The 27164-nt window shown below is 34.6% G+C and overlaps 1 protein-coding gene, 1 non-coding gene and 1 pseudogene across 2 annotated transcripts; 1 reads left to right on the top strand and 2 right to left on the bottom strand.

Annotated features, from left to right (window-relative positions):
• Nucleotides 1-949: 949 nt before the first annotated feature.
• On the bottom strand, nucleotides 950-11142 carry OR4M1 (olfactory receptor family 4 subfamily M member 1). Its single transcript, NM_001005500.2, has 2 exons — nucleotides 11053-11142; nucleotides 950-4352 (listed from the first exon to the last, which is right to left on the bottom strand). The coding sequence occupies exon 2, from the start codon at nucleotides 4321-4323 to the stop codon at nucleotides 3382-3384; it is 942 nt and encodes a 313-aa protein (NP_001005500.1). The 5' UTR covers nucleotides 4324-4352; nucleotides 11053-11142; the 3' UTR covers nucleotides 950-3381.
• A 9496-nt stretch (nucleotides 11143-20638) lies between these two features.
• LOC124903431 (small nucleolar RNA U13) lies at nucleotides 20639-20739 on the top strand. The gene has a single exon (XR_007064412.1). It is a non-coding gene; the product is annotated as a small nucleolar RNA U13 (small nucleolar RNA).
• On the bottom strand, nucleotides 23858-24736 carry OR4H12P (olfactory receptor family 4 subfamily H member 12 pseudogene; annotated as a pseudogene).

The following is a 27164-nucleotide window of genomic DNA, read 5'->3' as shown; positions in this document are numbered from 1 at the left end:
CTGTTCAAGTAATCCTTATTCTATTTAATAATGGCCCAAAGTGCAAAAGTAGTAATGTTGCCATATTGTTATAATTGTTCTATTTTATTATTAGTTGTTATAAATCTGTTACTGTGCCTAATTTATAAATTAAACTTTATCATAGGCATGTGTGTATAAGAAAAACACAGTATATATAGGGTTTGGTACTATCCATGGTTTCAGGCATTCACAGGTGTCTTGGAACATATCTCCTATGGATAAAAGAGGACTACTGTGTATATATATATATGTGTGTGTGTGTGTGTGTGTGTGTGTACCCAGCCTTTTGTCCTAGTCATATGTTTGACTGTAACTTGTTCTCTGATAATTTCATCAAAAGAGGTCTTAAAAACAACATTCTCAGATTTTTGTTGCATATTTAAAACTTTGTGGCCTTTTTATTTAAATGCCAGTTTTGTGGGATATAAAATCTGAGGGTTACACTTATTTATGTAAAGCATGTTGTAGCTTGTCTTCACCTGGACCTCTATTTAATGGTAATTATATTTTGGAACAATGCATGATAGGCCAACTGGCCTGCTTCCAATGGAGCTGGAGGGGTGAGACTTTATAAACCTTGTTAAAGAAAATCCCTGAGAAAAGCGATTGCCAGTGATACTTGTTTTGTTCTTTATATATTCATATGTTTTTAACTTTCAATGAATATATATTCTTTTAGTAATTAAAAAAACAAAAAAACTTTAATTTTGTTTGAGCAATAAAGCTCTTTTTTAACCAGATGTAATAATAAAATTCTGGTTAATACTGAGATTAGCAAAAAGCCAGAAGATGAATGGGACTTGGGTTCTAAAGTCTCACACAAGTCAGTGTATAATTGAAAGTATAATCACAATACTGAGCTAAAGATAATTTACTCAATTGAGATATTGCTGATTTTAAACATAGTAGCTCAGCAGCAGTTTTGAAAGAAGGAGGACTAGGAGAGACTGAAAGAAAAAAAGAGATTAAAAGACATTTAAAAGTAACTGAAAGAAAATGTAGGAGTTATATAGGGAAAAGGAGTCCTGAGGCATATTTTGTATGTGATTGCTGAGGATACTGAGCTATTTGGAAACAATATTCAATGACACAACATTGCATATGAGGTTAACACCTATTTCTTCTACACTAACCTGCCTTATCCCTGCCCATTATTTAAGTCAGAGTTTCTCAACCTGATGGAGTTCTTCATTCTCGGCACTATTGACATTTTGGGCCAGATAATTCATGTGGGAGTCAGGGGCTGGGGGCTGTCCTGTGCATTGTAAGATGTCTAAATAGTACAAGATGCCAATATACGTCCTCAGTTGTGACCACCACAAATGTCTCTGGGCACTTCCAAATGTCCTCCAAGGGGTGAAATTGCTCTCAGTCCTTATTCCAATTATGTCCTCCATGAATCAGGCTCAGTTATTACTTACTAGAGTTTGCCAAAAGTTCCCCTTTTTCTTCATTGATATTAGTTTCTAATTTCAGATAATATTCCCAAGTAAGCAATTAGTTATCACACTACTGTTTTTATGCCTTTTTCCTTTGTATTACTAGCTTCAGTATTTTCAGTAAATATCCTTCTGTAGTACAGTGTGCTGGTGTTTGAAGAGCATATCAAATCAGTGGTCCCTTTCCAAAGAACATCAGCCCTAGTTTGATGAAAGATAAGTGACAAAATGAATAGAAGTCTGGCTAGATCAAATACAGAGAAATGACAGTAAGATGATAAAAGATTTAGAAACATAACTCATCATTTTATCATATTATATATATATATCTTTTGTACTTTATATTTTTTCATGCTGTGTTACAAAATGTTAGAGAAGTCTACTGCTTTATTCACTTCCAGGTGATGAGAAGTCAACTCAAAAATCAGGACTCATAACATCAATCCATGCCTTTGGGTTCCTAGAAGAGAAGTAACGTAGCATTGAAGATCGAAGAAGGTCACCATAAGGAAAAATTCCCAAAGCAAAAAACAAGCTTTGTGTACCACCATTCCATCCTGTGCATCCGAGGTACACTGGGTCTGGCATAAATTACCTCCTCAATTAATAAATAAATCTCTGTAAATAAATAGTAACTCTAGGAATAGTTATACGATTTATTTTTATATATTCATTCCTAATGTTGACAAGGATCTAATTCACTTAAAATTTAGTCCATATTACATTATCAAATTTAAAAAAGAAGACTAAAGCTTAATACACCCAATGCATTCTTGCCCTTCAATGAAAATATTTCCTAGTTTTGAAATGAAAAACTAATAAATTTAAGTAAAAAACATAACCTATAAAATCAAATGTTCTAATCTACCTCTTACATTCAGAAGCTTGGAGAGTGAGTTTTTAGTGCTTGAAAATAGGAAATCAGTCCCTAATAATTCTCTAAGGGATCATGGGAACCAACACATCCAGGTCTCTCAATGGGAAATAACTCTGAATTAAGCGCTAACAAAAACAGCACCTAACCAATTTAAGTTTAACATGAGAGGCAGGATTAGCAATTACGGAAAACATACAAAAGTGGCAAAGGAGATGATAGTTTAGAAAAAAACTACACGGCTAGATGTCTACCAATTCCAGTCAACCTAGAAGCTTTCTCCCCAAGCCTGCTTTCACTCTGAAGGATGTAAGTAGGGACTGGCTATAAAAATTGCTAGTTGCCTGGAGGCTTCATCTGGAATGACATGAATCTCATGTATCAGCCAAATTATACTCTGCTTTGAATTCATAAAATTTGTTTTCATAATGTGATAAAATTTTGAGTTCTGTCTCCAACTGTTGAATGGACACCACCTGAAATATAAACTGAAATACCTTCTATAAATGAATCCTCATTTTCCATCAACTCTGGAAATAAGAGGAGATAAAGGACAAATAATCTGTTTTTCCAGACCCAGCAAGATGTTTACCAGATACCATTCCACTGAGCCAACACTGAAACTTGACAATATTTATTTGCTAACTTGAAGCTAGCTGCATCCATATGCTTGCCATTTACTTCATATTTGTAATGGACACGTCTCCATGTCTTATTTATTTTTATCAACATGTTCCCCTCAAAGCCAGAGCCTCTGCAGAGTAGTTACTCAATAAACAATTAGTTAAAATGTACTTTAGCAGATTATTATTATATCTCAAATTCTAATAATGATCTGCCTGGAATTTCAGGGTAGGTGTGAGTAAATTTATTTTCATCTTAATGCCTCTATTTTTTCAATATAAAGAGGAATTAATAGAGAAAAATTATAGTAAAATTTTAAGAACACAAATGAACGGAGGAAGTGAATGCAGCATTATTACTGCAAATACTTCCTGCTTTAGGACAATGATCCTCAGGAGGACTATAAAATGTATAATTTATCTTTCACTTCTCTTCACACAAAATATATTTGGTGACCACCTTCCTCATGGCTGCCTTTACTTCCTTGTTTCTCAATGTGTAAATAATGGGATTAAGTAAAGGGAATATTACAGTATGAAACACAGACACCACTTTATCTAGGGAAAATGAGTCAAATGGGCGAGCATAAATGTAGATGGATGGCCCAAACATTAGCACCACAATGGTAATGTGGGAATAGCAGGTGGACATGGCCCTGTTGGTATTCTCACCTGAGCCTGAATGTTTCTTGAGCAAGGCCAGAAGGAAGGCATAGGACATTAACAGAGCAATGAAACACACCACAGAGATCAGACCACTACTACAGATCATCACTAACTCCTCTGGGAAGGTGTTGGCACAGGCAATCCGGACAACCTGTGTGATGTCACAGAAGTAACTGTCTAACTCATTGGGCCCACAGAAAGGAAGTCGAACAATGAGAGCCACCTGTATTATAGAATGAATGAAGCCCCCCATCCAGGAGAGAGCCACCAGGATACAGCAGAGACGTCGATTCATGATGGTAGCATAGTGGAGGGGTCGGCAGATAGCAGCATAGCGGTCATAGGCCATCACTGTGAGCAAGAACATCTCCGAAGCCCCAACAAAGTGTAAGAAGAAGAGCTGTGCAATGCATCCACCAAAGGAAATTATCTTCCTCTCCACAAAGAAGTCTATGAGCATTTTAGGGGCTGTAATGGAAGAGTACCAAATATCAAGGAGGGCCAGATTAGCCAACAGGAAATACATAGGAGAAGTCAGATGAGGGTCTAGCCTGATGGTGCAAATGATAAGGATATTTCCTGGTAGGATGAACAAATAGAAGGATAGAAATATAACAAATAGGACTAGTTGGACCTCCCGAGTCTGGGATAGGCCAGTGAGAACAAATTCTGTCACCTTGGTGTAATTTGCAGTTTCCATTTCTTCAATTTACTCTTTTCATAATATAACTATGAAAATTAAAGAAACTATAATTAGTCCACATAGCATTTATCTAGAGTTATATCACTGCTTTCAAAATTGTCATACGTTTTCTGTCACTAACAGATTACATGAGGATACATTTGGTTGCCCATTTTATATTTGATAAACCAAGAAAGAGAAAGTATGTGATGAACTTATAAATTGGGAACACTAAAACTATATGAAGTGTGGCATATATTTGAAACTCAAATCTCGGCTTGTTAATGTTAAAAATCTTACTTTTTCTGAAATTCGGCAATGCACTACTTCTTCCCCCAAACATCTACATTAGTAAGCAATATGTGAAGCTACTTCTGAGTGTAGCCAAATTTTAGACTGGCAATCAGAGATGTGGCCTCTTTTTTCTAGATCTTATTTTTTGTTGCAAAATCATGCCAACCTGGAAACTTAGGCTTGCATTCTAATAGCACACATACAGATCTAGCAGTATTTTAGTTGTGATACAGAAAAGAGATCCCAAGGCTTCATAAGTACTGAATGGACATATTTTTCCATAAGCGTAACCAAAACCTGTATAGCTTAATCCTTGGTAACAGGTAACCAGCCACAACATACAGCTATGCAAGGCCCTATATAAAAAATTCTTCTAGCTGTGACCAGATTCATCAATACCTGATACTACATTGAGTATGAAATTTGCTCACCATTGCAGGAACTTAAGTAGGTGTAGTGATCTGGGAAATGAGTATGCTTGCTACCCAATTTGATTCTGAGCTGATCCGCTCTGCTGTTTCAAGGTGACAATGGGAATAATATTATTTTTAAAATTTTGCTTACTGCCCTGTATTGAACCTGACACCACTAAGTAGAACAAAACTTGTCAAATAAAAATGAAATAACAGTTCACGTTACCAAATATGCTTTTCTTTAAGTAAGGTTAAAAACTGCCACACCAAGGTAAGTTTTGTTGTAACCAACAGCAAATACAAGAGAGTTGTTTCTTTTCTGTTGATGTGATATTTTATGATATTGCCTCTCCTATTGCTTAAAAAATTAAATATTAAAAGGAATTTTTAAAAAGTTAAGGTTCTGTAAAACCAAACAGATGTGGCTGTGTCCAAACACTTATGGGCACTATGTATACTACTGAGAAAAGAAATTAAATGCGCCATTTTTGGAACCTACTGACTCAATTTATACATAATTTTAACAAACATAGATAAATGGCTTTCAGTATCTTATAGAAGCATTGTATTTTGAAGAAGGGATGGCTTACTACAAGCAGACACACACACGCACAAAAACAGTGTTTTCCAGGAATCTGGTAGCAAGTGGAAGAAAGGTAAAAATACTCAGAAATTGAGTAATGTGGGACTATTTAGAAAAGGGATCAATTTCCCCATGTCCATAAATTGCCCAGTATGGACTTCAGTGAGTTAATTAAGCATATTTAATAAGATTGAAAAATTTAAAATTTGGTTTAGGAAGATTTAATCAAAAGAAAGATAATAAGGTTATCCAGAATGACATATTTCCTAAGATTCCAAAAAACAATGATCTTACTGTACTTACCTGAAGGAAGCAGCTCATAGCCCCCATAACTAATAACGCAACAGGTATAGCTTATAAATATATACTTGTGTTATTAGTTATGAGGGCTTGAGCTAGTTATATACTAACTCATTTACATTCACTGATAAGTCAACTATGAGGTTCCAACAATCAAATAAATTTCTACCAAAAGCATCTGAAATATTATGATTTACTCAGCTCATTTACATATTTTGCTATTATGCCATGTAGTTTTTGACCAGATGGAAGTGATTATTTTTTCCTAAGTAAATAATTGTCCCTTTATTATTGAAAGGAGGTGAATATTTTAAAGCGGTAAATACCATTACAAGATCATATGCTTTTTTTATTATTATGGGGACATGATGCAATGATTCTGAGTGTCGTCACACAAATCACCCCTTCCTCCTCTGCTCTACTCCATACCCATTCCACCAAAACAGAAGTAGAAAATGGCACTAATCTAGAAAGAATTTAGGTGAATGAGTGTTGATGTCTTGAAAAGACAAACATACATCAGGTATTATGGAATAGAAAGGGTGATTTTACCAGAAAAAAGTGTCAAAGAGATTTTCTTTTGTACCTCAGTGTTCAAGATACAACATAAAATTAGAAACTAATGATGTATATACTTTGCATTAAGAACCAAAATCAATCACATTTATTCCTTAGGACAAAAATACAAAGGATTCATCCCTCCACACTTCTTGATGAGTGTCTCTGTCCTCCACCCTTCACAAGTGTCAAGTGGAAAAGAAATATTTTGCTGGAGCATCTTAATCCAATAGTCAGGCAGCCAATCAAACTCCCTACTCCCAAAGCTAGTAATGCTCAGCCACTACTCATAACACACACACACACACACATACCACTACACCATGTCACTTCCTCAAGGAAGAACAAACACCTAGTTTCCCTACATTAACATAACCATTACCTAAAATACCATAAATGATGCAACAATTCCTATTCTGTCCAGCACTTGTCATTTAATGCATGTCAAAACAAAGCTATCTACCTGTGATATTAAAAAGTCTATTCCTAAATATATAGCTTCTGTGTCACTTCTATAAACTATTCATTTGTTTATCCCACAAACATTTAGAGAGTATCTACTATATGCTACCTGCTGAGACACAACAATGAACAAGGAAGAATCAATATCTGCCTCATCAAACTTCCATTCTGAAAATATAGACAATAAATAAGTAAACAAGCAAATAAAAATAAAATAAAATATAAATAAGTAAAATAAAATAATTGCTACTGGTTCTAAAAGACAAGCAGGAAATAAAAAGAAGGCAATGGTAGAGTAAATGATGATGGGTGTGGTATGTGTGTGATGGAGTATTTTAGAAAAGGTTCTGAGTTGGTGACATTTTTCTAACTTTGAAAGTTTGAAGAAAAGCATTTTAAGAATACAGAATAGTAAATGAAAAGGCCTTGTGTCATGAAAGACTTTCTAAGAACTGTAGAAGACCCACAACTAGTAGAAGCATAAGAACAAAATAAAGAGTTAGTCAAAGACCAAGTAATGTAGCCCACAATAATAAAATTGGATTTCCAATTTTCTTTCAATATGTTTTAAAATAAAACTCGACAGAATAGCTTAATACAATTTGCAATTTAGAAATATCACCCTGGCTGCTATGTGAATAAACTGGAGTAAGACAACATTACAGGAAAAACAAACAAACAATATATATATATATATATATATATATATATATATATATATATGGCTTAAACAATACAGCAATAACTATTTGGAGAGAAGAATAATTTGTTTAGAAAATATTTAGGAGATGCAACTGGCAGGATTTATCAGTGGATCATATGTTGTTATTGTCATACTACCAAAGGCAGCTGGAATTTGAACTCCACAATGGCAATTTAAAAATATTGTTTTCCTATCTTCTGTGTCTAAAATGAGGTTCATCCAGCACATACCACGACCTTAATAAAATTGGGCTAAATAAACTATACATACTTGGGTATGCACTGTAACACCCCAAGAAAGGCTGGGAATTGTGCCAAGAAAACCCAAAGCAATTATGTTTATGGGAAATTCTTGGGGGAGATAAGCCACTCATGAAGATTGACTTAGGGCATTTTTTTCTAAGGTTGCCATTGAGGAGGGGATGTCTATTCCAAATCAGTGCTTACTCTTAGACCAGTGGTTGGATAAGTTGCTTAAAAAGATTTACTTCGTCTTACATCCACCCACCTACTTCTCCTAAGCTTCTGCTTCTCTTTTAACCACATCTAGAAAATTCCCATTCTTAATCTACAGGGACGTAGTACCTAGAGGGTGACTATGGAAATACCCAGGAGTACAGGTACATTCTCTGTAGGTGAGTGAACTGTGAAATCTCCTCAAGAGAAGCAATGCTTTGGGGGAAAACAAGAATCTGCGTGATGTTGAGGTCATGAAATCTTCCTCTATGACAGTTTCTTCATAGCAAAAGGAGGGATTTTTAACTAGAGTTTTAAGAAATGTTCTACCTCTAAAATCCTATGAAGAGTAAAATTCTCAGAAAGGTAAATTAAGAATGATTTGGGTAGCAATAGGGAGAAACAGTGATGTAATCACCATTGTGGATATATACAACACTTCTTAGAAATAATGCGAATTAATTTTCCTATTTTTAGGATATTGAGCTCACTTATTCTGTGGGATGGTGAGGAAGGAGTATACAGAAGCATCTTCACCATATAGACGGGTATAGGAAACCCAGGGACCTCGAGTGTCATAAATAAACCAGTAGCAGAAAATATCATGATGTAGTTATTACATTGATTTTCTGTGTGCATCGTTGCCCACAGTAAACTAGGCAAGAAGAAACCATTAGGATCAGAGAAGGGCTGATCTCAATATTATACTATCTTGAAGATCATTTGCTGCTTATTTCTCTTTTAATATACTTTATTATTATTATTATATTATATTTAATAATATACTTTAATATGTTATTAAAGTATATTAAAATTAATATATAGTAATATACATTAATATATTATTAAAGTATATTAAAATATTTTATATACAACTAATATATATTTAATATATTCTTTTAATTTACTTGAATATATTGAAGTATATTAAAATATATTTTATATATAATATAAATTATATATACTTATATATTATAATTATATATTTACATATATTACATATTTATATATTATAATATATATTATATTATATATATATTTGCTGCTTATTTCTCTTTTAATATACTTAGATATGGGGTGTTAGTGCTGTCAACTGAAGAATGATGAGGTTCATAAATTTGGAAAGGAGGACCTTTATTTCTCATAGAGTTGCAGCCTGCAGGGTGGCTATTATGACAGGCTGGGAAATATAGCCTCTGGCCAGGAGCCACAAACAAATATTTCGAGACAGTGTCAGAAGGAATATATACTGAGTGAGGTGGCCAAATACATATGCTCAATAAGCTATAGGAGGAGTCATGAATATTTATGAAAGGACAACCGTGCACATGCACAATTGTGCTTCATGCCCCTTCATGAGTAGCATATAGTTGGTCTCTTATCAGGAAGCAATGCTGGTTAATTGCCGTGTTAAAACCACAAAAAAAGAGGGACAGCTTCAGTGGTTGGTTGATATCAGCAGTGGAGTCTTTCAAAAGAGCTGGTTTCTATTTAGCACTTAGGTAGGAAAGTCTAATGGCAGTTAAGCGAGGGCGGGGATGTAAGAAGGCACCTCTGACCGCCCATCTTGTCATGGATGAAAACTCAGCTTTTAAGGTTACTCTGGGGTGCCCTTGGCCAAGAGAGGGTCCATTCCGTAGGTTGGGGAGCTAAGGGTTTCATTTTTATTTTATTTCTCAGTGCCTTCATTCTAACCACAGCTGAACACTTACTAGCTATGTAATCCTGGGCAACTCACATACCTCTGCCTCAATGTGCCTCATCAGTGCAATGGAAATAATAACAGTACCTACTTCATAGGTATTGTAGTGATTAATGCATATAATGGTCCCCACATTTTTCCCAGACCCACAGTCCTGTTACATTGTTGATGTATCCCTATTTTTAAATCCTTCATCTATTCTCAGAAGCTTGTTTTCTAAAATGCCTGAAATTTTGTATGAGTTTTGTATATATAAGTTCCATAAAAATGTCACATTTCTATGGCTCCCATAATAGTACTCTGTTTACACCTCCAGTACAAATTTTAACTCATTACATTGTAATTTTTCAGTTTGTATTTTGCAAAATATAACAGAAACTCTGAGCTCCTTGAGGTCATGGAGTATGTCTCATTTATATATCTACTGCCTAAAGTAGTTCCTAGCATACTATGGTCTTCAATATGTGTTTGTTAAATGGATAGATGGATGGATGGATGGGATGATTACATGGATTTTTTATTGAATAAATAAATCAATAGACTTTGACAAAAATTAAACACCACAACATCTAATTGTTTTTATTAATTCATTTAGTCTTTCCCTACCCTGTTACATAATTCCTAATTTTGCTTTTTGGAATCCTTTTTGTTAAAATACATATTTCACCCACATTTATTTCAAGTAAGAGTCTCTTTGCTTTTAAGTTTCTTTTTTGCTTTTCTATTTATTTTCAAAGCTTTTACTACTACTAACACTAATCCCTTTGAAATGAAATATTTCAAGCCTCACCTTTCCCATCCTCTTCACAGAGATCATCTTGAAGAACTATAAGAAGAAGTAACTAAAGATCTTGGGGTTTTCCTGACTTTCTTTCAGGAGTAAAGGGATTCAAAATTTTGGAAGTTTATTTTAACAATCTGTCATGCTCTGAAGACCCATAAATCAAAACAGCCTTCTCTGAGCTTATTTACAAATGATTCATCCTATGAGTATAAAATGACCAAGCTGTCTCTTCAATGCCCTGTTCAATCCTGACTTTAAAATGCTTTAATTATTGAGATCAAGGCCGAGAAGAAACAATTTGTCCACCCACTCTACAGCTATGACCTGCTCTACACTATCATCACAGTTCCCTAAGACATTTCCTTACATGCTGCTTTCTGTTTCTAACCACTGGTCTCTGAGCATTTTACATAGTTATTCCCATCATTATATCTATCCTACTGTCTCAAAAATAGGATAGTTTATGTAAAGGTTATAACAACTTTCCACCTACCAATTACTGTGACAGTCTTGGTGCCTTCAGGAACTATGGGGAGGAGGTAGAAGAAGCCTCTTCCACCACCCACAGTGGAGGACTTTATCCTCTACATGTTGGTATCCATCAGTTTCTGCCCTGATGTAACAGTAAACTAACTAGCAGCATGGGTTGTAACTACAAAAATCAATCCTCTGGAGGCCAGGGGAAGCCAGGTAGGAACATAAGCCTTGAGGGGATAATTTAAAAGTTGATTTGCACTTCATCCAAAGAGCATAGAAACACAACTTTTGAGTTTCACAGAAGAAGTAAGAAAAATGGCGAATTTCCCAGGATTAGGGGTGGAAAATGTGCATTTTCAATTCTATTGTCCCAGAGGACACAATAAGTTGTGCTGGAACAACTGGTTAACCAGATTTTTAAAAAGAATTATATTTTATAACTTATACTTAACATAAATTGCAAAGGAGTAATTTTTTTAATTACTAGAAATATAGAGAGACTATTTAAATTATTTTGGAATAAATAAAAACTTTTAAGTATATCCTGCCCCTATGAAGGAAAAACAATACAAAAAGAGTTATAGCATATTTGATAATGAAATTTAAAACTTATCAATGGCAAACACATATATAGGGAAAATGTTAGAAATTAAAACAATTTAAAATCACTAGAAAATAAAGACAAATTTAACAGGCAAATAATAAACAGAAAAAATAAATTTAAATAACTCCATTATATAAGAAGCACTTAAAAATCAGTCATACTATGGCAAAAATAATAATGATAATAATGCAATTTCAAAGTGGGTGAAAAACTTGAAGACATTTCTCTAAAGGAAATATACAAATGGCCAACAGCAAATATGTTCAGCATCACTAGTTGTCAAGGAAATGCATATCCAAACACCAATGAGATATTGCCTCATGCCTATTAGCATGGCTATTATCAAAAAACAAAAGAAATGTTGGCTAGAATTTAGGGAATTGAAACTCCTATACACTGTCGGTGGAAACAGAAAATGGTGCAGTCACTATGAAAAATAATGTGTCAGTTCCTCAAAACATTAAAAACAGAATTATTATACGTTTCAGCAATCCCAATTTTAGGAATATGTCCAAAAGAATTGAAATCAGAACCTCAAAGAGATACCTTCACACCCATGTTTACTGCAGCATATACACAAAAGCCAAGATACGGAAACAGCTTAAAAGTCCATAGACAGATGAACAAAGAAAATGTGTTAGACATCAGCTAAAATGGCAGAGTAGGTCATCTCAGTCTTTATTCCTCCTACAAGGAACAACAATTGGGAAAATATCCACAAATGAAAATAACTAGCAGAGATCAGGAATCTACTTAAGGAGTTAAAACAATAGAGCAGACAGAAAAACTTCAAGAATAACAACAAAAAATGGTAGAAAAAACAGTTTCATTTTGCCTGCTTCATCTCCTTCAGGCTGGCAGTGCTCAGTATGGAGAGGTCACTGCTCAGCTTGCAAGTTCCCCTTGCAGAGAAAGGGGAACTTTTCTCTTACCCAGCCTACTGGAGCATTGCCCAAACAACCAGCTTAAGTTTCACCCATCCCAGATTGCTAGGGAGACCAACATAGCTGAGAAATCTGTAAACTGCTGGTAACAAAGAGAAATGATGAGGTCTATCAGTATCAGTCATGTGGTAGAAATCAATGCAGTCCCCAGTAGCCTGATCTGAGCAGAATTCCAGTAGCCTTCTATACCAAGGACCTCAACAGCCCTCATGGATGTGACACAGGATTCTTTGAGGGCCACTTTGCCAAGTGGAAATCTCGATGGCCAGCAGAGCCTCTGCTGAGGCTTCACTGAGGCCCTCTGAACTCGTTCTGCTCATTTGGCCTGGCAGGCTGTGCTCCACTCATGCTCACTCACCCAGATCCCATGACACCCACTGTAGCTCAGTGCTCAGCCCATGGTTGCTTTGGGCATGCTATGACTGACTTCTGCCTTGAACACCGACATCTGGATAAGGGGGATGCAGCAGTGCCCAAAAACTCAGAGATGCCAGCAACTGTGGAGCCCAAAGAGGTGTTACAGCTTTTCCTCTGGGAGTCAAGGTCTGAGCCCCCAGGAAGTGTTACAGCTCTTGTTCGTTCTCACTGCCGACAGCTTCAGCAAATGGGGGTATGTCACAGCTCATTCAGTCCTGCTGCCCACAGCTCAGCAACTGGGGACGTGTGGCACCCAGCATTTTTTTTTTCACTCCTGTAGCTTGGTGAACAGGAGCGTGTCTTACAACTCTTTTCGCACCCACTGTTCAGTGGATTCCGGATTCTTGTCCCACAACCAACAGGAATGAAGCATATAGACACCGCAGAGTGAGCAAGGCTGATGAGATTTTTACTGAGCGGCAGAAAAACTCATGACAACAAGAGAGTAGCCAAAGTGGGTAGCCCTCTGTGTAAGAGTGGGACTGAAAGCAGAGAGCCATCTGTGAGGCTGAGTCTGGGGTTTTTATGGGCTCAGAATGGAGGAATGTGTGCTGACTGGTTCATGGGCAGGCCTGGAAAAAGCACCATTTAATTGACTAAAAGGCACTGAGGAAGTTCTCAGTTGGGTCGTGGACTGCACCTGGAACTGGTGGCTTGGTTTTCAGGCTTCATGTTGTCTTTGGCTTGAAGGTTGGGATTCACCAGGGACTTATACCTGTCTGCCTAGGAATCTGTCTGTCTCCTGCCATTATCAGCTGCACATACCACACTGCTTTCACTACCAAGGAACCCACAATGATCACTGCGCAAACTATAGTACTTAACTCCACAGAGGACTCCAGCAGGTTTAGTCACTGACAAAATCAACACCCAAAGATCACAAAGAAGCAGGAAAACATGACACCACCAAAGGAACAAAATTAATTTCTAGTAACCAACCCCAAAGAATTGGAGATCTATAAATTGCCTGGAAAAAATCAAAATAATTACATAAGGAATCTTGGGGAACTACAAGAGAACACAAATAAATAGTTTAATGAAATCAGGAAGACAATCCAAGAACAAAATGAGAAGCTCAATAAAGAGAGAAAATATTTTAAAAAGAACCAAACAGAAATGTTGGAGCTGAAAAATACAACAGCTAAACTAAAAAAAAATGTAATAGAGGCTTGAACATCAGACTAAATGAAGCAGAATAAAAAAATAAGTGAACTCAAAGACCGAGCATTTTAAATCATCCAGTAAGTGGAGATAAAAGAAAAAAAAGAATAAAACCTACAGAAGCCATGGAATACTATCAAGAGAGCTAACATTAGAATTATCGTAGGTTCAGAAGAAAAATAGAGAGAGCATTAGATAGAAAGCTTATTTAAGGAAATAATCATGGGAAACTTAGCAAATATCCGGAAAGAAATGAGCATCCACATGCACGAAGCCTAAAGTTCTCCAGTCAATTCAACCAAAAAAAGAATCCACAAACATACGTTAACATCAGCCTGGCAAAAATCAAAAACAGAGAAGCTTGTAAGCAGCAAGAGAAAAGAATCATGTCATATAAAAAAGGACCCAAATAAAGCTATCAGTGGATTTCTCAGCAGGAACCTTGAGGATCAGGAGAGAATGAAATAATATATTCAAAGTGATGGAAGAAAAATAAAACTGCCAACCAGCAATATTTTGCCAGCAAAGCTGTCCTTCAGAAATGAAGAAGATAAAGACTTTTTTAGAAAAACAAAAAAAGTTGAGTGAGTCTTCACTATTGCTTGCCTTACAAGAAATGCTAAAGGGGGATTTTTAAGATTAAATAAAAGGCAGCTAATTAGTAACATTAAAACATACAAAAATGTAAAACTAACTGGTAAAGTATATATATGGTTAAATTTAGAATATTCAAACACTATAATGGTGGTGGTGTGAATCACACCATCATTATAAAGTTATAAGATGAATGTATGCAAAATGACTATAGCTATAATAAATTCTTAAGACATACAAAAAATGTAAACTGTAACATCAAAAGCACAATGTAAGAGAAGGGAAGTAAAAGTACAGAGCTTCTTTAGCAATCAAAGTTAAGATGTTATCGTCTTTAAATGAATTGGTTAAACAATAAGAATATTTATGTAAGCCTCATGGCAACCACAAATTAAAAATCTATAGTAAATACACAAAAGATAAACAGAAAAGAATCAAAGCATACCACCAAATAAAATGATCAAATCACAAAGGAAAACAACAAAGGAGTAATAAAGGGATAAAGGATCTACAAAGCAACCAGAAAACAATTAATAAATTGACAATAATAAATCTTTACTTACCAACTATAAATAAGCAAATTTTGTTAATCAAAAGACAAAGAGTGGCTGAATTGATTTATAAAAATAAAATCCAACTTAATGCTGCCTACAAGAAACTCACTTCACCTTTAATAACACACACAGACTAAAAGTAAAGGGGTAAAAAACAAAAATATTCCATGAAAATGAAAATCAAAAAAGAGCAGTAGCAGTTACATGTGTATCAGACAAAATAGACTTTAAATACTGTCACAAGAGACAAAGAAGGTCATTAGATATTGATAAGAAAGTCAATTCATTGAGATAATAGAACAGTTATAAATATGAATACACCCAACATCAGAGCACCTAAATATATAAAGCAAATATTAACAAATCTAAAGCAAGAGATAGACTGCAATGCAATATTAATAGAGAACTTTAATATCCAATTTTCAACAATGGATAAATCATCCAGAAAGAATATTATTAAGAAAACATTGTCTTGAACTACTTCAGACTAAATGAATCTAATAGACATACACAGAATATTCAATCCAACAGCAGAACACACATTCTTCTCAAGCTTACACAGAATATTCTCCTGGACAGATTGTATGTTAAGCCACAAACAAGTCTTAACAAATTTCAGAAGACTGAAATCATATCAGATATATTTTCTGACCATAGTGGTGTAAAACTAAAATCAATAATAACAGGAAAACTGGAAAATTCATGTACATATGGAAATTAAACAACAACCAATGGGCCAAAAAAAGAAATCAAAAGGTAAATGTAAAAATATCTTGAGACAAATGAAAATGGACATGACATACAAAAAGGTATGGGATGCAGCAAAAGTAGTTTTAAGGGAGAAATGTATAGTAATAAATGTTTACAAAAAAAGAGGAAAGGTCTCAAATTAACAACCTAAAATTACAGCTCAATGAACTAAAAAAAGAACAAACTAAGCCCAAAGTTAGAAAAAAAGGAAATAACAAAGATTAGAAAAGAAATCAATGAAAGTGAGACTAGAGAAACAGTAGAAAAGATCATGAAACTAAGATTGATTTTTGGAAATATAAATAAAATCAACAATACTTGATCTACACTGAGAAAAAATAGAAGACTTAAATAAATAAAAGCCAAAATGAAAAAGGAGACATTACAACTGATGCTACAAAAATATAAAGAATTATAAGATAATACTATGAACCATTACAAGTCAAAAGATTGGATAACCTAGAATAAATGGATAAATTCCTAGACACATACAGCCTGCAAGACTGAATCATGAAGAGATAGAAAATCTTAACAGTAATGAGTAAGGAGATTGAATCAATAATAAAATCTCCTATCAAAGAAAATCCTAGGACCTGATGGCTTCATAGTTGAATTCTACCAAATATTTTGAAAAGAACTAACACCTATCCTTCTAAAATCCTTCCAAAAAGTTGAAGAGGAGGGGATACTTTAAAACTCATTTTACAATGCCAACATTGCCTTCATACCAAACCCAGATAAGGACACCAACAAGAAAAATAGATTATAGGCCAATATCCCTTGTGAACAAAGGTCCAAAAATCCTCAACAAACTACTGGCAAACCAAATATACCAGGACATTAAAAAGATTTTGCATCATGACAAAGTAGGATTTATTCCTGGGATGTAAGAATTATCCAACATACACAATCAACAAATGTGCTACACCACATTAACAGAATAAGAAATAAAAACCATGAGATAATCTAAACAAATGCAGAAAAATCATTTGACAAAATTCAACATTCTTTCACAATACAAAATTTTCAACAAATTAATTATAGGAATGTACCTCAACACAATAAAGCCTGTATATCACAAGCCTATGATAAACATTGTACTCAATGATGAGAAATTGAAATGTTTCCCTCTAAGATCAAGAACAAGACCACTCTCCCCACTTCCATTCAACATAGTACTGGGCGTCATAACCAAAGTAATTAGGAAAAAGAAATAAAGTGCATCCAAATAAAAAAGTTAGTGTCTCTGTTAGAAGATGGCATGATCCTATGTAGAAAGAATCCCGAAGACTCCACTAAAAAACTGTTAGAACTAATAAGCAAATTCAGTAATTTTGCAGACTACAAAATCAACAGAAAAATTCAGTTGCATTTCTTTACACCAATAATGATCTATAGAAAGAAAAAGTCAAGAAAAATTATCATTATGAGCACATCAAAAAGAATAAAATACTTACAAATAAATTTAACTAAAGAGGTAGAATACCTGTACATGGAAAAGTGTAAAACATTAATGAAATAAATTGTGGAAGACACAAATAAGTGAAACATATCCCATATTCATGAACTGGAAGAATTAATATTGTTAAAAAGTCCATACTACTGAAAATGATCTGTAGATTCAATGCAATCCCTATCAAAATGGCAATGAACATTTTTCACAGCAATGGAAAAAATAATTCTGAAATTCATATGCAACCACAAAAGAGCATGAAAATCTTAAGCAATCTTGAGTATAAGTACAAAGCTAGAGGTATTAAACTTCCTGATTTCAACTCCATTACAAAACTGTAATAATCAAAACAGATGTTGCTGGCATAAAAACATATAGACAAATAGAACAGAATAGAAAGCTCAGAACTAAACTCACATACATCCAGTCAGCTAATTTTTTCAACTAAGGTACCAAGAATTTACAATGTAAAGGACAGACTCTTCTACAAATGATGTTGGGAAATTGGATATCCACATGCAAAGAATCCATGCTTCTCTTATTCCAATCACAAAAGTTAATTCAAAGTGGATTATAGACTTAACATAAGACCTGGTCCCATAAACTCCTAGGAGGAAACATGGGGAAAGTTCCTGGACATTGGTCTCATCTTTATTTGTAGAAAGGGAAATCTACAGAAAGGGAGAAAATATTTGTATACCATACATCCAATAAGGAGTTAATATCCAAAATATATACAGAACTTATACTACCAAATAGCAAACAAACAAGCTTGTAAATGGGCAAAAGATATTTTAAAAATGATTTCATAAAATGGGCAAAGGATCTGAATAGATATTTTTCCAAAGAAGACACACAAATGGCCAAAAGGTATATGGAAAAAATGCTCAAAATCAGAAATCATAAAGGCAAATCAAAACCTCACTGAGATATCACCAACCACCTGTTAGATTGCCTTTTATCAAAAAGTCCAGTGATAACATGTGTTGGCAAGGGTGTAAAGGAAATCTGATATGGTTTGGCTGTGTCTCCACTCAAATCCCATCTTGAATTATAGTTCCTGTAGTCCTCACATGTCATGGGAGAGATGCAGTGAAAGATAATTGAATCATGGGGGCAGTTTTCTCATGCTATTCTTGTGATAGTAAGTTCTCACAAGATCTGATGACTTTACATGGGGCTTTATCCTTTACTCAGTTCTCAGTCTTCTCTCTCTTGCCACCATGTGAAGAAAGACATGTTTGCTTCCTCTTCCACCATGACTGTGACTGTAAGTTTCCTGAGGCCTTCCCAGCCATGCTGAAATGTGGGTCAATTAAATCTCTTTCCTTTATAAATTACCCAGTCTCAGATATGTCTTTATTAGCAGGGTGAGAACGGACTAATACAAAACCCTTGTAAACTTTTGGTAGAGATATAAATTAGTGCAACCATTATTGAAGGCAGTATGTAGGCTCCTCAAAAAAAAAATAAATAAACCTCTCATATAATACAGCAATCCCACTTCTAGGTATGTATGCAAAAGAAATAAAACCACTATCTTAAAGAGATATCTGCACTCTCAAATTCACTGCAGCATTGTAATACTAGCCAAGATACAGAAACAACTTAAGTGTTCATCTACAGATGCATAGATTTTTAAAATGTGGTACAAACACACACAATGGATTATTCATCCTTAAAAAGAAGGAAATACTGCCATTTGCCACAACATGGATAAACCTGGAGGACATTATGCTAAGTGCAATAAGCCAGACACATAACAACAAATACTACACGATATCCCATACAGGTGGAATATTTAAAAAAATCAAACTCATAGCAATGGACAGTAGAGTGGTGGTTAGCAGAGGCTGGCAAATGCCAGGAAAAAGAAGATGTTGGTCAAAGGGTACAAACCTTCAGCTACAAGATGAGTAAGTACTGGAGACCAAATGTACAGTAGCTTCAAATTTGCTAAGAAAGTAGATCTCAAGTGTTAACATACACATACACACATTATACACAAATGGTAATGATGTAACATGATGAATATGTTAATTAGCTTGGTTGTGGTAATCATTTCATAAGTATGCATATACCCTAAATATATGCAAATTTTATTTGTAAATCATACCTCAATAAAGCCTGAAAAAAATTGTACTATATATATGCAATGGAGTATTATTCAGCCTTTAAAAAGCACGATACAGAAGGACAAATACTGCATGATCTCACTTATATGTGGAATCTAAAATACTCAAACTGAAGGTAGAATGGTGGCTGCCAGGAATGGAAAGGAAAGGGAGAAATGAGGAGATATGGACTAAAGGTTACAAAGTTTCAGTTATGCAAAAATGAATGAGTTCTGGAGAGTTAATGCACAACATGGTGTCTGTATTACAATGCAATACTATATTGGACAACTGAAATGTACTAAGGGAGTAGATCTTAAGGGTTCACACCATACACACAAAAACATAACCCTGTGAGGTAATGGATATGTTAATTATCTTAAATGTGATGACCATTTCACAGTGTATACATATTTCAAAACATCAAGTTGCACACTTAAATATGTATGATTCTTATTTGTCAATTATACTTCAATAAAACTGAAAAAGGGGAATGAAGGAGAATAAGCTAGACCATGTGGCCACATGCTGGTTGACCTCCCACTGAAGGTCATTCCTCCTTTCAAATGGCTATCATAAATATCTTTTTGGGGTTTCTGTATTTCCTCCCTCTCTCAGTCCCTTCAGGCACAATGGTGTAAACAGCTCCACTGCATCTTACCCCTGATTATAGCACTGGCCTCTGTGGTACTCTATACCTATAAACTCATAGACAGCATCTCTTTAAATAAATCTTTATCAAATTATCTTATAATAAGTGTGTCATTAACTTCCTGTTGGAACTCTAAATGATATCATTTTCTATAAATGTATCCTTCCTTGAGTGCATCAACTTGTTTCATCCTATTGGCTGTACCTTTACAACTAAGATGCTTCAATATATTAGACAATATAAATTTTCACCCTTTCCTTTCTGTTTTATGAACCTGGAGGGCTTCCATCTTCTGCTTTCATCCATTTCTGTTGTCTCCTATGCCTACTATACATCTGTCATCTTAAAAGTGGCTTTTGATCCCTTTGTGGTTCATAAGTGTGATGACTGAGTTTTTGCACTCCTGTGTGAGATGTACCTCCCTCAAACCTTATGACATATACACATTACCTGATTCACATGAAGAAAGAAAAAAGAGATTGGGATTTTTTTTTAAAGTGGTTTTAGCCACCCTGCATTGCATATATTAATTTATTGATCTCATTTCTTCCTCTTGTTTTGCTGGGATACATTATCCCACACTTTCAAAAAAAAAAAGAGTACTTACAAAGCAAACTTTACAAATTTTTGCATGATTAAACATGCTTTATTCTATCTTCCTGATAGGTTTGTTCTGTATAGAATTCTAGGCTGAAAATCAGTGTGAGAAACTTTTCCACTGTATTCCAAGGATGAGTTTGCTACAGAGCATACTCATGCCATTTGAATTTCTGTTCATTTGTGAGCTATGTGGTTTTTTCTTAATAATTTTACAATATTTTCAATCATTAAGGTGATAAAATTTCATAATAACGTGCCTTGGGATTTTTTTTTAAATCTTGTGCTGGGCATTCAGTAAATCTTTCATATCCGGAAAATTAAGCTTTTCTATTCTAAGAAATGTATTTTCATTGTTTCTTTTAAATCCATCCTTCTCTTTAATTTGTCCTCCTGGAATATGTGTGAGTTGAATGGTTTGCCCCTAACTTGATTCCTTGTGTTTCTTGTTTTTATCTTTCATGTTTTCTATTTCTTTGACATTTTCATTCTACTTTCACAGAGACTGTACTTTTATGACTTCTGTGACTACTTGTTTTATTTCTTTTAATGCCATACTAATTTGTTTTAATTTTGTTTATTGTTCTTTTTGATTTTATTTACCTTCCAAAAATAATTTTTCTATATTTTTTCAATGCGTCATATTCTTATTTAAAGATTACAAATATTTTCTTTCATCAATGAGAAGATAAAGTTTTTTACAGTTTTTTTCCCCCTGAATTACCTCTAATTCCACCAGTTTCCTTTTGGCTTTTTTAAAGGCTGACTTTTCTCTTTTTTTCAAAAGCCTTATGTAAATTTTAGATTGATCTCTTAAGCCAGCTTACTAATTGGCAGGCTTCTGGTCAGGGTTCCAGTAGAGAGGTAACCATTTCATTTGTAATCTCCGAAGGCAGATGTGACATTAACATTCAGTTTCTTAAACAAAGGTGCCAATATTCTGTCTGTGACTCATATGCTACCGTTAGCATCTGGGAGCAGAAAGAGAGGATAGAAGATTGAACTGTTCCTTTCTCTTAATCTTCATTAGCAGCCCTGAAACTCACCTCCCCCTGACCTGGCATCCTGCATCCCAATCATTGCAGGGATTCCAGGAAGCGAATCTCTTCCCTTTTCCGCACTATTCCTCTTGTTGGTAATTTAGACTTAGACTTCCAGACCCCGCCAAATCAGTTACTACTTTTTTGTCTTACCTTTTCCAAACTTTTGTTGAAATCTCTCCTCTGCATCTAACTCCTGTCTTGTTTCTTTGTTCCTGTGGGTCTAAGCCATTTTTTTCTTACTGCAAGTGTTGTTATTGTTATTGTTAATACTTTGCTCTTAGGAGGGAAAAGGAAACCTAATATAGTCTATCATTTTTTAATATAATTTGTGTGTTTGTTGTTTATCTTAAAAAATCAGGAGTTAAGAAAAGGATAGAATGACCCTTTTGCAAAGGGCAAGTAATATGAAAATAACTGTAAGGACATGCAATAACTATAAGGAAATTTTAATCATCAAAATGTTAATGGTGATCATGTATGAGAGGGCTGGAGTGGACAAACCATTTTAAAGACTTTTCAAAAGTCCCACCAACCAACTACTATTAACATCAGATTGTCCACTGGGCTTCAAAAGGAATATCTTTTTCTTATAAGGTCATTCTAAATTATTGAATTGAAGTTTAAAAGAGCCTGAGGCAAGTCAATGCAATATTTTAGTTGGGCCACCATAAATAATGTCAGGTCCCCATTACTAAGGAAAAAAATAGAAATTGGAGTTACAATCAACAGATTTTGACAAGTACCTACTGTGCAAGCCCCTCTATTCCATACATGAAGAGTAGAAGAGAATATACATCACTTATATTCTTCTTAAGTTGTAGATCTCAGATAAAAATCCACTAAAAAAGAGAAAAAGGTAAGTGATATTTTATAAATTGCATACAGGATTGCTTAAGGCATATAGAAAATAAATGTTGAATAAAAATAATCAGGGCAGAATTCTTGAACAATATGAGCCATGAGACAAGATCTAAGAAAATTTCTCAGAAGAAAAATGCCTTTTCCAGAATACTGAGAATACTTATCTATTTCTCAACTTTACTAAGAATACCACAAAAAGAAAATGTGCTTATTCCATTTTGTTGTTTTAAGGAACTGAGGACAAGTTCAACTAAAAATTTATAATAGAATTACATCTCCTTAGTCATTTCAATGGTACAAATATCAACTCATTTTAGTTGCATTAATCTAGTCTGTGTTTTTATTGCCAAAAAAAGTAAGATTTCTTTCAGTAAAGATAGTATTACAGTAATGGGTAGAAGAGTATTCAAATTCTCCAAGAGAGTCTTTAAAGAAATTGCTGTCCACTTCAAAATATGTAAAGTTCTATTTTTTTTTTCCTGCACAGAAACCATCCTTTGGGCAATTTGTTGATTTATACTAACCCCCTTCATTGTAGGAAGTGTATATTTCTATGTCTGCATTTGTTGTATTGTATTATAATTGTCTCCTTGCAAATCTGTTTCCCTGACTAGATTTTGCAATATTTATAGGAAAAGACTAGAGAAGGAAGAAAAAGAAAACAAAAGAAGGAAGGAAAGAAGGAGGGAACAAGGTGCAGCTTCTGGTAAATTAGACTTCTTTTTTGAAGAGACATGATATGGTGAGAAGATATGATCAGGGATATCTTTCTCTTATAACCCCACTCTAAATCATTGAATGGTAGCTTAAGAGAGTTTGACGTGAATAGAAGGGATCTAACGAGGTTAAATGAGATATTGAGTAGGAGTGTTAACTCGTTTACTCTAGAAGTAAGAGAGGATAAACCTTGCCAAGTATGGAAAGTTTTAAGTTTAGCCTGTCTAAAATAGCCTCAAATTATTTCCTGTTTAGACAACCTATAAAAGCTGCATTTTTAGGAACTATTTTTTTAATTATTAATAAATTAGGGATCATTGAAGGTATCCACTAATTCTCTGATTTTGCAATTCTGACAAACTATCCTCTCTGTTTTTCCTTCAAGGAGATCTTGCTACTCCATAGCTGCCTCATGGCATTCTTTACATCCTCATTCCTCAGAGTATAGATGAGTGGGTTCAACATTGGGGTGATGGTGGTATAGAACACAGACACAGCTTTATCCAATGGGAAAGTAGTGGATGGACGGAGATAAATAAAGATACACGGAACAAAGAAGAAAGTTACTACAGTCAGATGAGATCCACAGGTAGAGAGAGCTTTGCGTCGGCTCTCTGCAGACTGTTTTTGAAGACTAAGCAGAATGACTTTGTAGGAGGCCAAAAGAATGAGGAAACAACCCAGGGAGATGAGACCACTGTTGGCAACTACCAACATATTTATCAGAGTTGTATCAGCACAGGCAAGTTTTAGGACTGGGTGGACATCACAAAAGTAATGGTCTATAACCTGAGCATTACAGAAGGGCAGCTGGAAGGTCAGGAGGGTCTGAACAAAGGAATGACCCAGGGCCCCCAACCAGGACAGTGATGCCAGCACAGTACAAGCATTAGCACTCATGATGACAGTGTAACGGAGGGGTTGGCAGATAGCAGCATAGCGATCAAAAGCCATGACAGTCAAAACAAAAATCTCAGCACAACCAAAAAAGTGGAAGGTAAACATCTGAGTTATACAGCCCCAGTAGGAAATAGTCTTTTTCTCAGAAACAAAGTCTGCAATCATCTTGGGTGCTGTGGCCGAGGAATAGGCAATGTCCACAAAAGACAGGTTACTGAGGAAGAAATACATGGGTGTGTGTAGTTGGGGGTCAGAAAAGACCATAAGAAAAATGAGCAAATTTCCCACCATGATCACGATGTAGAAGAGGAGAAATAAGACAAAGAATATCCATCGCATTCCAGAATCTTGGGAAAGTCCCAGGAATATAAACTCAGTGACATTGTTGGCCACTTTCGTGGGTCCCCAGGCAGGACTGGTGCAGTGACTCTGGTCCTCCGCAAAAATAAACACATGTTATAAACCATTATAAGCACGATAAAGTCTATCAGTAAGAGTCTTGTGAAAATACCTACATGATGTTAAATATGGTAGAGAAAGTTCTTCATATTTCTTGAAAATAGTTCATGAATATTTTTCTTGTCATTAGCTTGATTTCCACATTATTGACTCACATTTGAATTTATTTCATGATTAGTCTTATAGTTCCTTTTTTCCATACAAGAATCTAGAGAATCTGCGTCTTTTTTATTGAATTTAATGTTTTTCCTTAATCAGTGCTCTCTCTCCCCCCACCTCCAACTTCTTTTGTCAGAAATTTACTTTGGAGTGAAAACTTTGTTTATTTAATTACTTAATTTTTTGAGGCTGTAAATAAAAGCATGAAGTCAGAGTATAAGATCTGATGTATAAAATTTCAGAATCCTTCAAATATAATATATACTACTCACTTATAGAAAAGTAACATTTTATTTAATCAAGAGAGGAATACTCAGTTTCCAATTTCTCAATTAGATTAAAAGTCTCAATTCAATTAAAAATCAAGTCATTTTTAGTGCTTATAAATCAACATTGAGGAAGTTTGAATCATAAGCCTGGACCTGCTGGTTGAAAATTCCATTTTGCTTGCCAATAAGGAATACATGAGAAGTGATCAACTTATACGGAGAAATACTTTTTTCTATGTTGCTCTGAAGAGTTGAAACATTTAAAAGTTATTGAGTTCCCTGTCATCCTCAATCCCTTTGCCTTGAAAAAGACCCAGATAACTCTCTGTCCTTGTGATCACAGGAAAAATTAGGAATGAAATTTATCATACAGATAATGTTATAAATGATAGTTTAAAAATAAGTGTCTGAAGCCATTTTATAAACTGTAATAGGAATGCTTGCATCATACAGAGAAAAATAATGGATAAAAATAATCAGGAAAAAATTCTTAAAGGAGATTAATATTAGACAAGATCTGAAGTTTCTTGAAATAAAAATGGCTTTTCTGAAATATGAAAATTACTAGCTATTTTCCGTCGTTACTCAGAATACCTCTTTTCTGCATGGATAGCAGAAAGAGCACTGACCAGAAGCTGAGTGGTGTAAGTTTGAGTGCCCTCATCAGCTTTATAACTTTGGGTAAATCTGTTTATCTTCCCTGGATCTCAGTTTTCTCATCTATAGAAGATGAATGATAAAATTTTTTACCGCACAAAGCTGTTTCAGAATTCAAATGAGATCTATAGAACATGTTTTGAATTTATGAGGTGTTTCCTTTCAATTTGAATCTATCAAGTGGAATCTCTCTAGTAAGCACAATTTGAAATTTGGTGCATTTAATTATTATATAAAAGCTATATAATGTAACTACTAGAAAATATTAAAAATATATACAATTTTATTTCTGAGATAATAGCTATAATATGTGCCAATCTCCATTAAAGAAATATCATTAATAGTAGTTAACATTTACTGAGTATTTTACCATGTGCAGAATCGTGTGCTAAACTCTGCATATGTTACTTAATTCCATCCTCACAACAATATCATAATTTTTATTATCTCCATTTTACTGAGCAGAGCACTAAAGATTAAAGAGGCAAATTGCCCAATATAATTTTCAGTGAAAGGACTGGTATAATTGTGGTATTCTTTTTCCAGAACACATATAACTTACATATCCTTAAATAAATCATAAGTAGATAGAAAGATTAGATAGATAGATAGATAGCTAGATAGATGATAGATAAATAATTTCCCATAAAAAGAACTGAATTTATTATTTATTTTATTTTTTTATTAATATTATTTTTTGGAGAGGAAGTCTCACTCTGTCGCCCAGGCTGGAGTGCAACGGTGCGATCTCGGCCCACTGCAATCTTCGCCCCCTGGGTTCAAGTGATTCTCCTGCCTCAGCCTCCCAAGTAGCTGGGATTACAGGCACCTGCCACCACAAAAAGAACTGAATTTAAACAATTGCTTTCTTATCGTGCAAAGTCCTTCAATTGGAGAATATGTTTCACATTCCTAAAATCTTTTAGTAGTCTGTGCCCTATACCAGCAAAGCCAAATTGTGCTCAGTCATCCCCAGTTGACAAAATCATAAGGGCTGAAAAAATGTTTAGGTAAACAGAAAACACTTATATTGTACTTACTATACACCAAGTTTGATTCTAGATGTTTTACATATAGCTCATTTAACTCCCATAATGATCTTATAAAGTAGTCTATCACTACTATTACCACTTCAGAAATGAGGAAACTGCAGCACAGAAAGAGTAAGTAACTTGCCCAAGGTTATAGATCTAGTGATTGGCAGAGTTGGTGTTTGAACCTAC

This window comes from Homo sapiens, chromosome 14 (genome assembly GCF_000001405.40).
Source record: "Homo sapiens chromosome 14, GRCh38.p14 Primary Assembly".
Lineage (NCBI taxonomy): Eukaryota > Metazoa > Chordata > Mammalia > Primates > Hominidae > Homo > Homo sapiens.
This window is presented reverse-complemented; position numbering and strand designations above follow the sequence as displayed.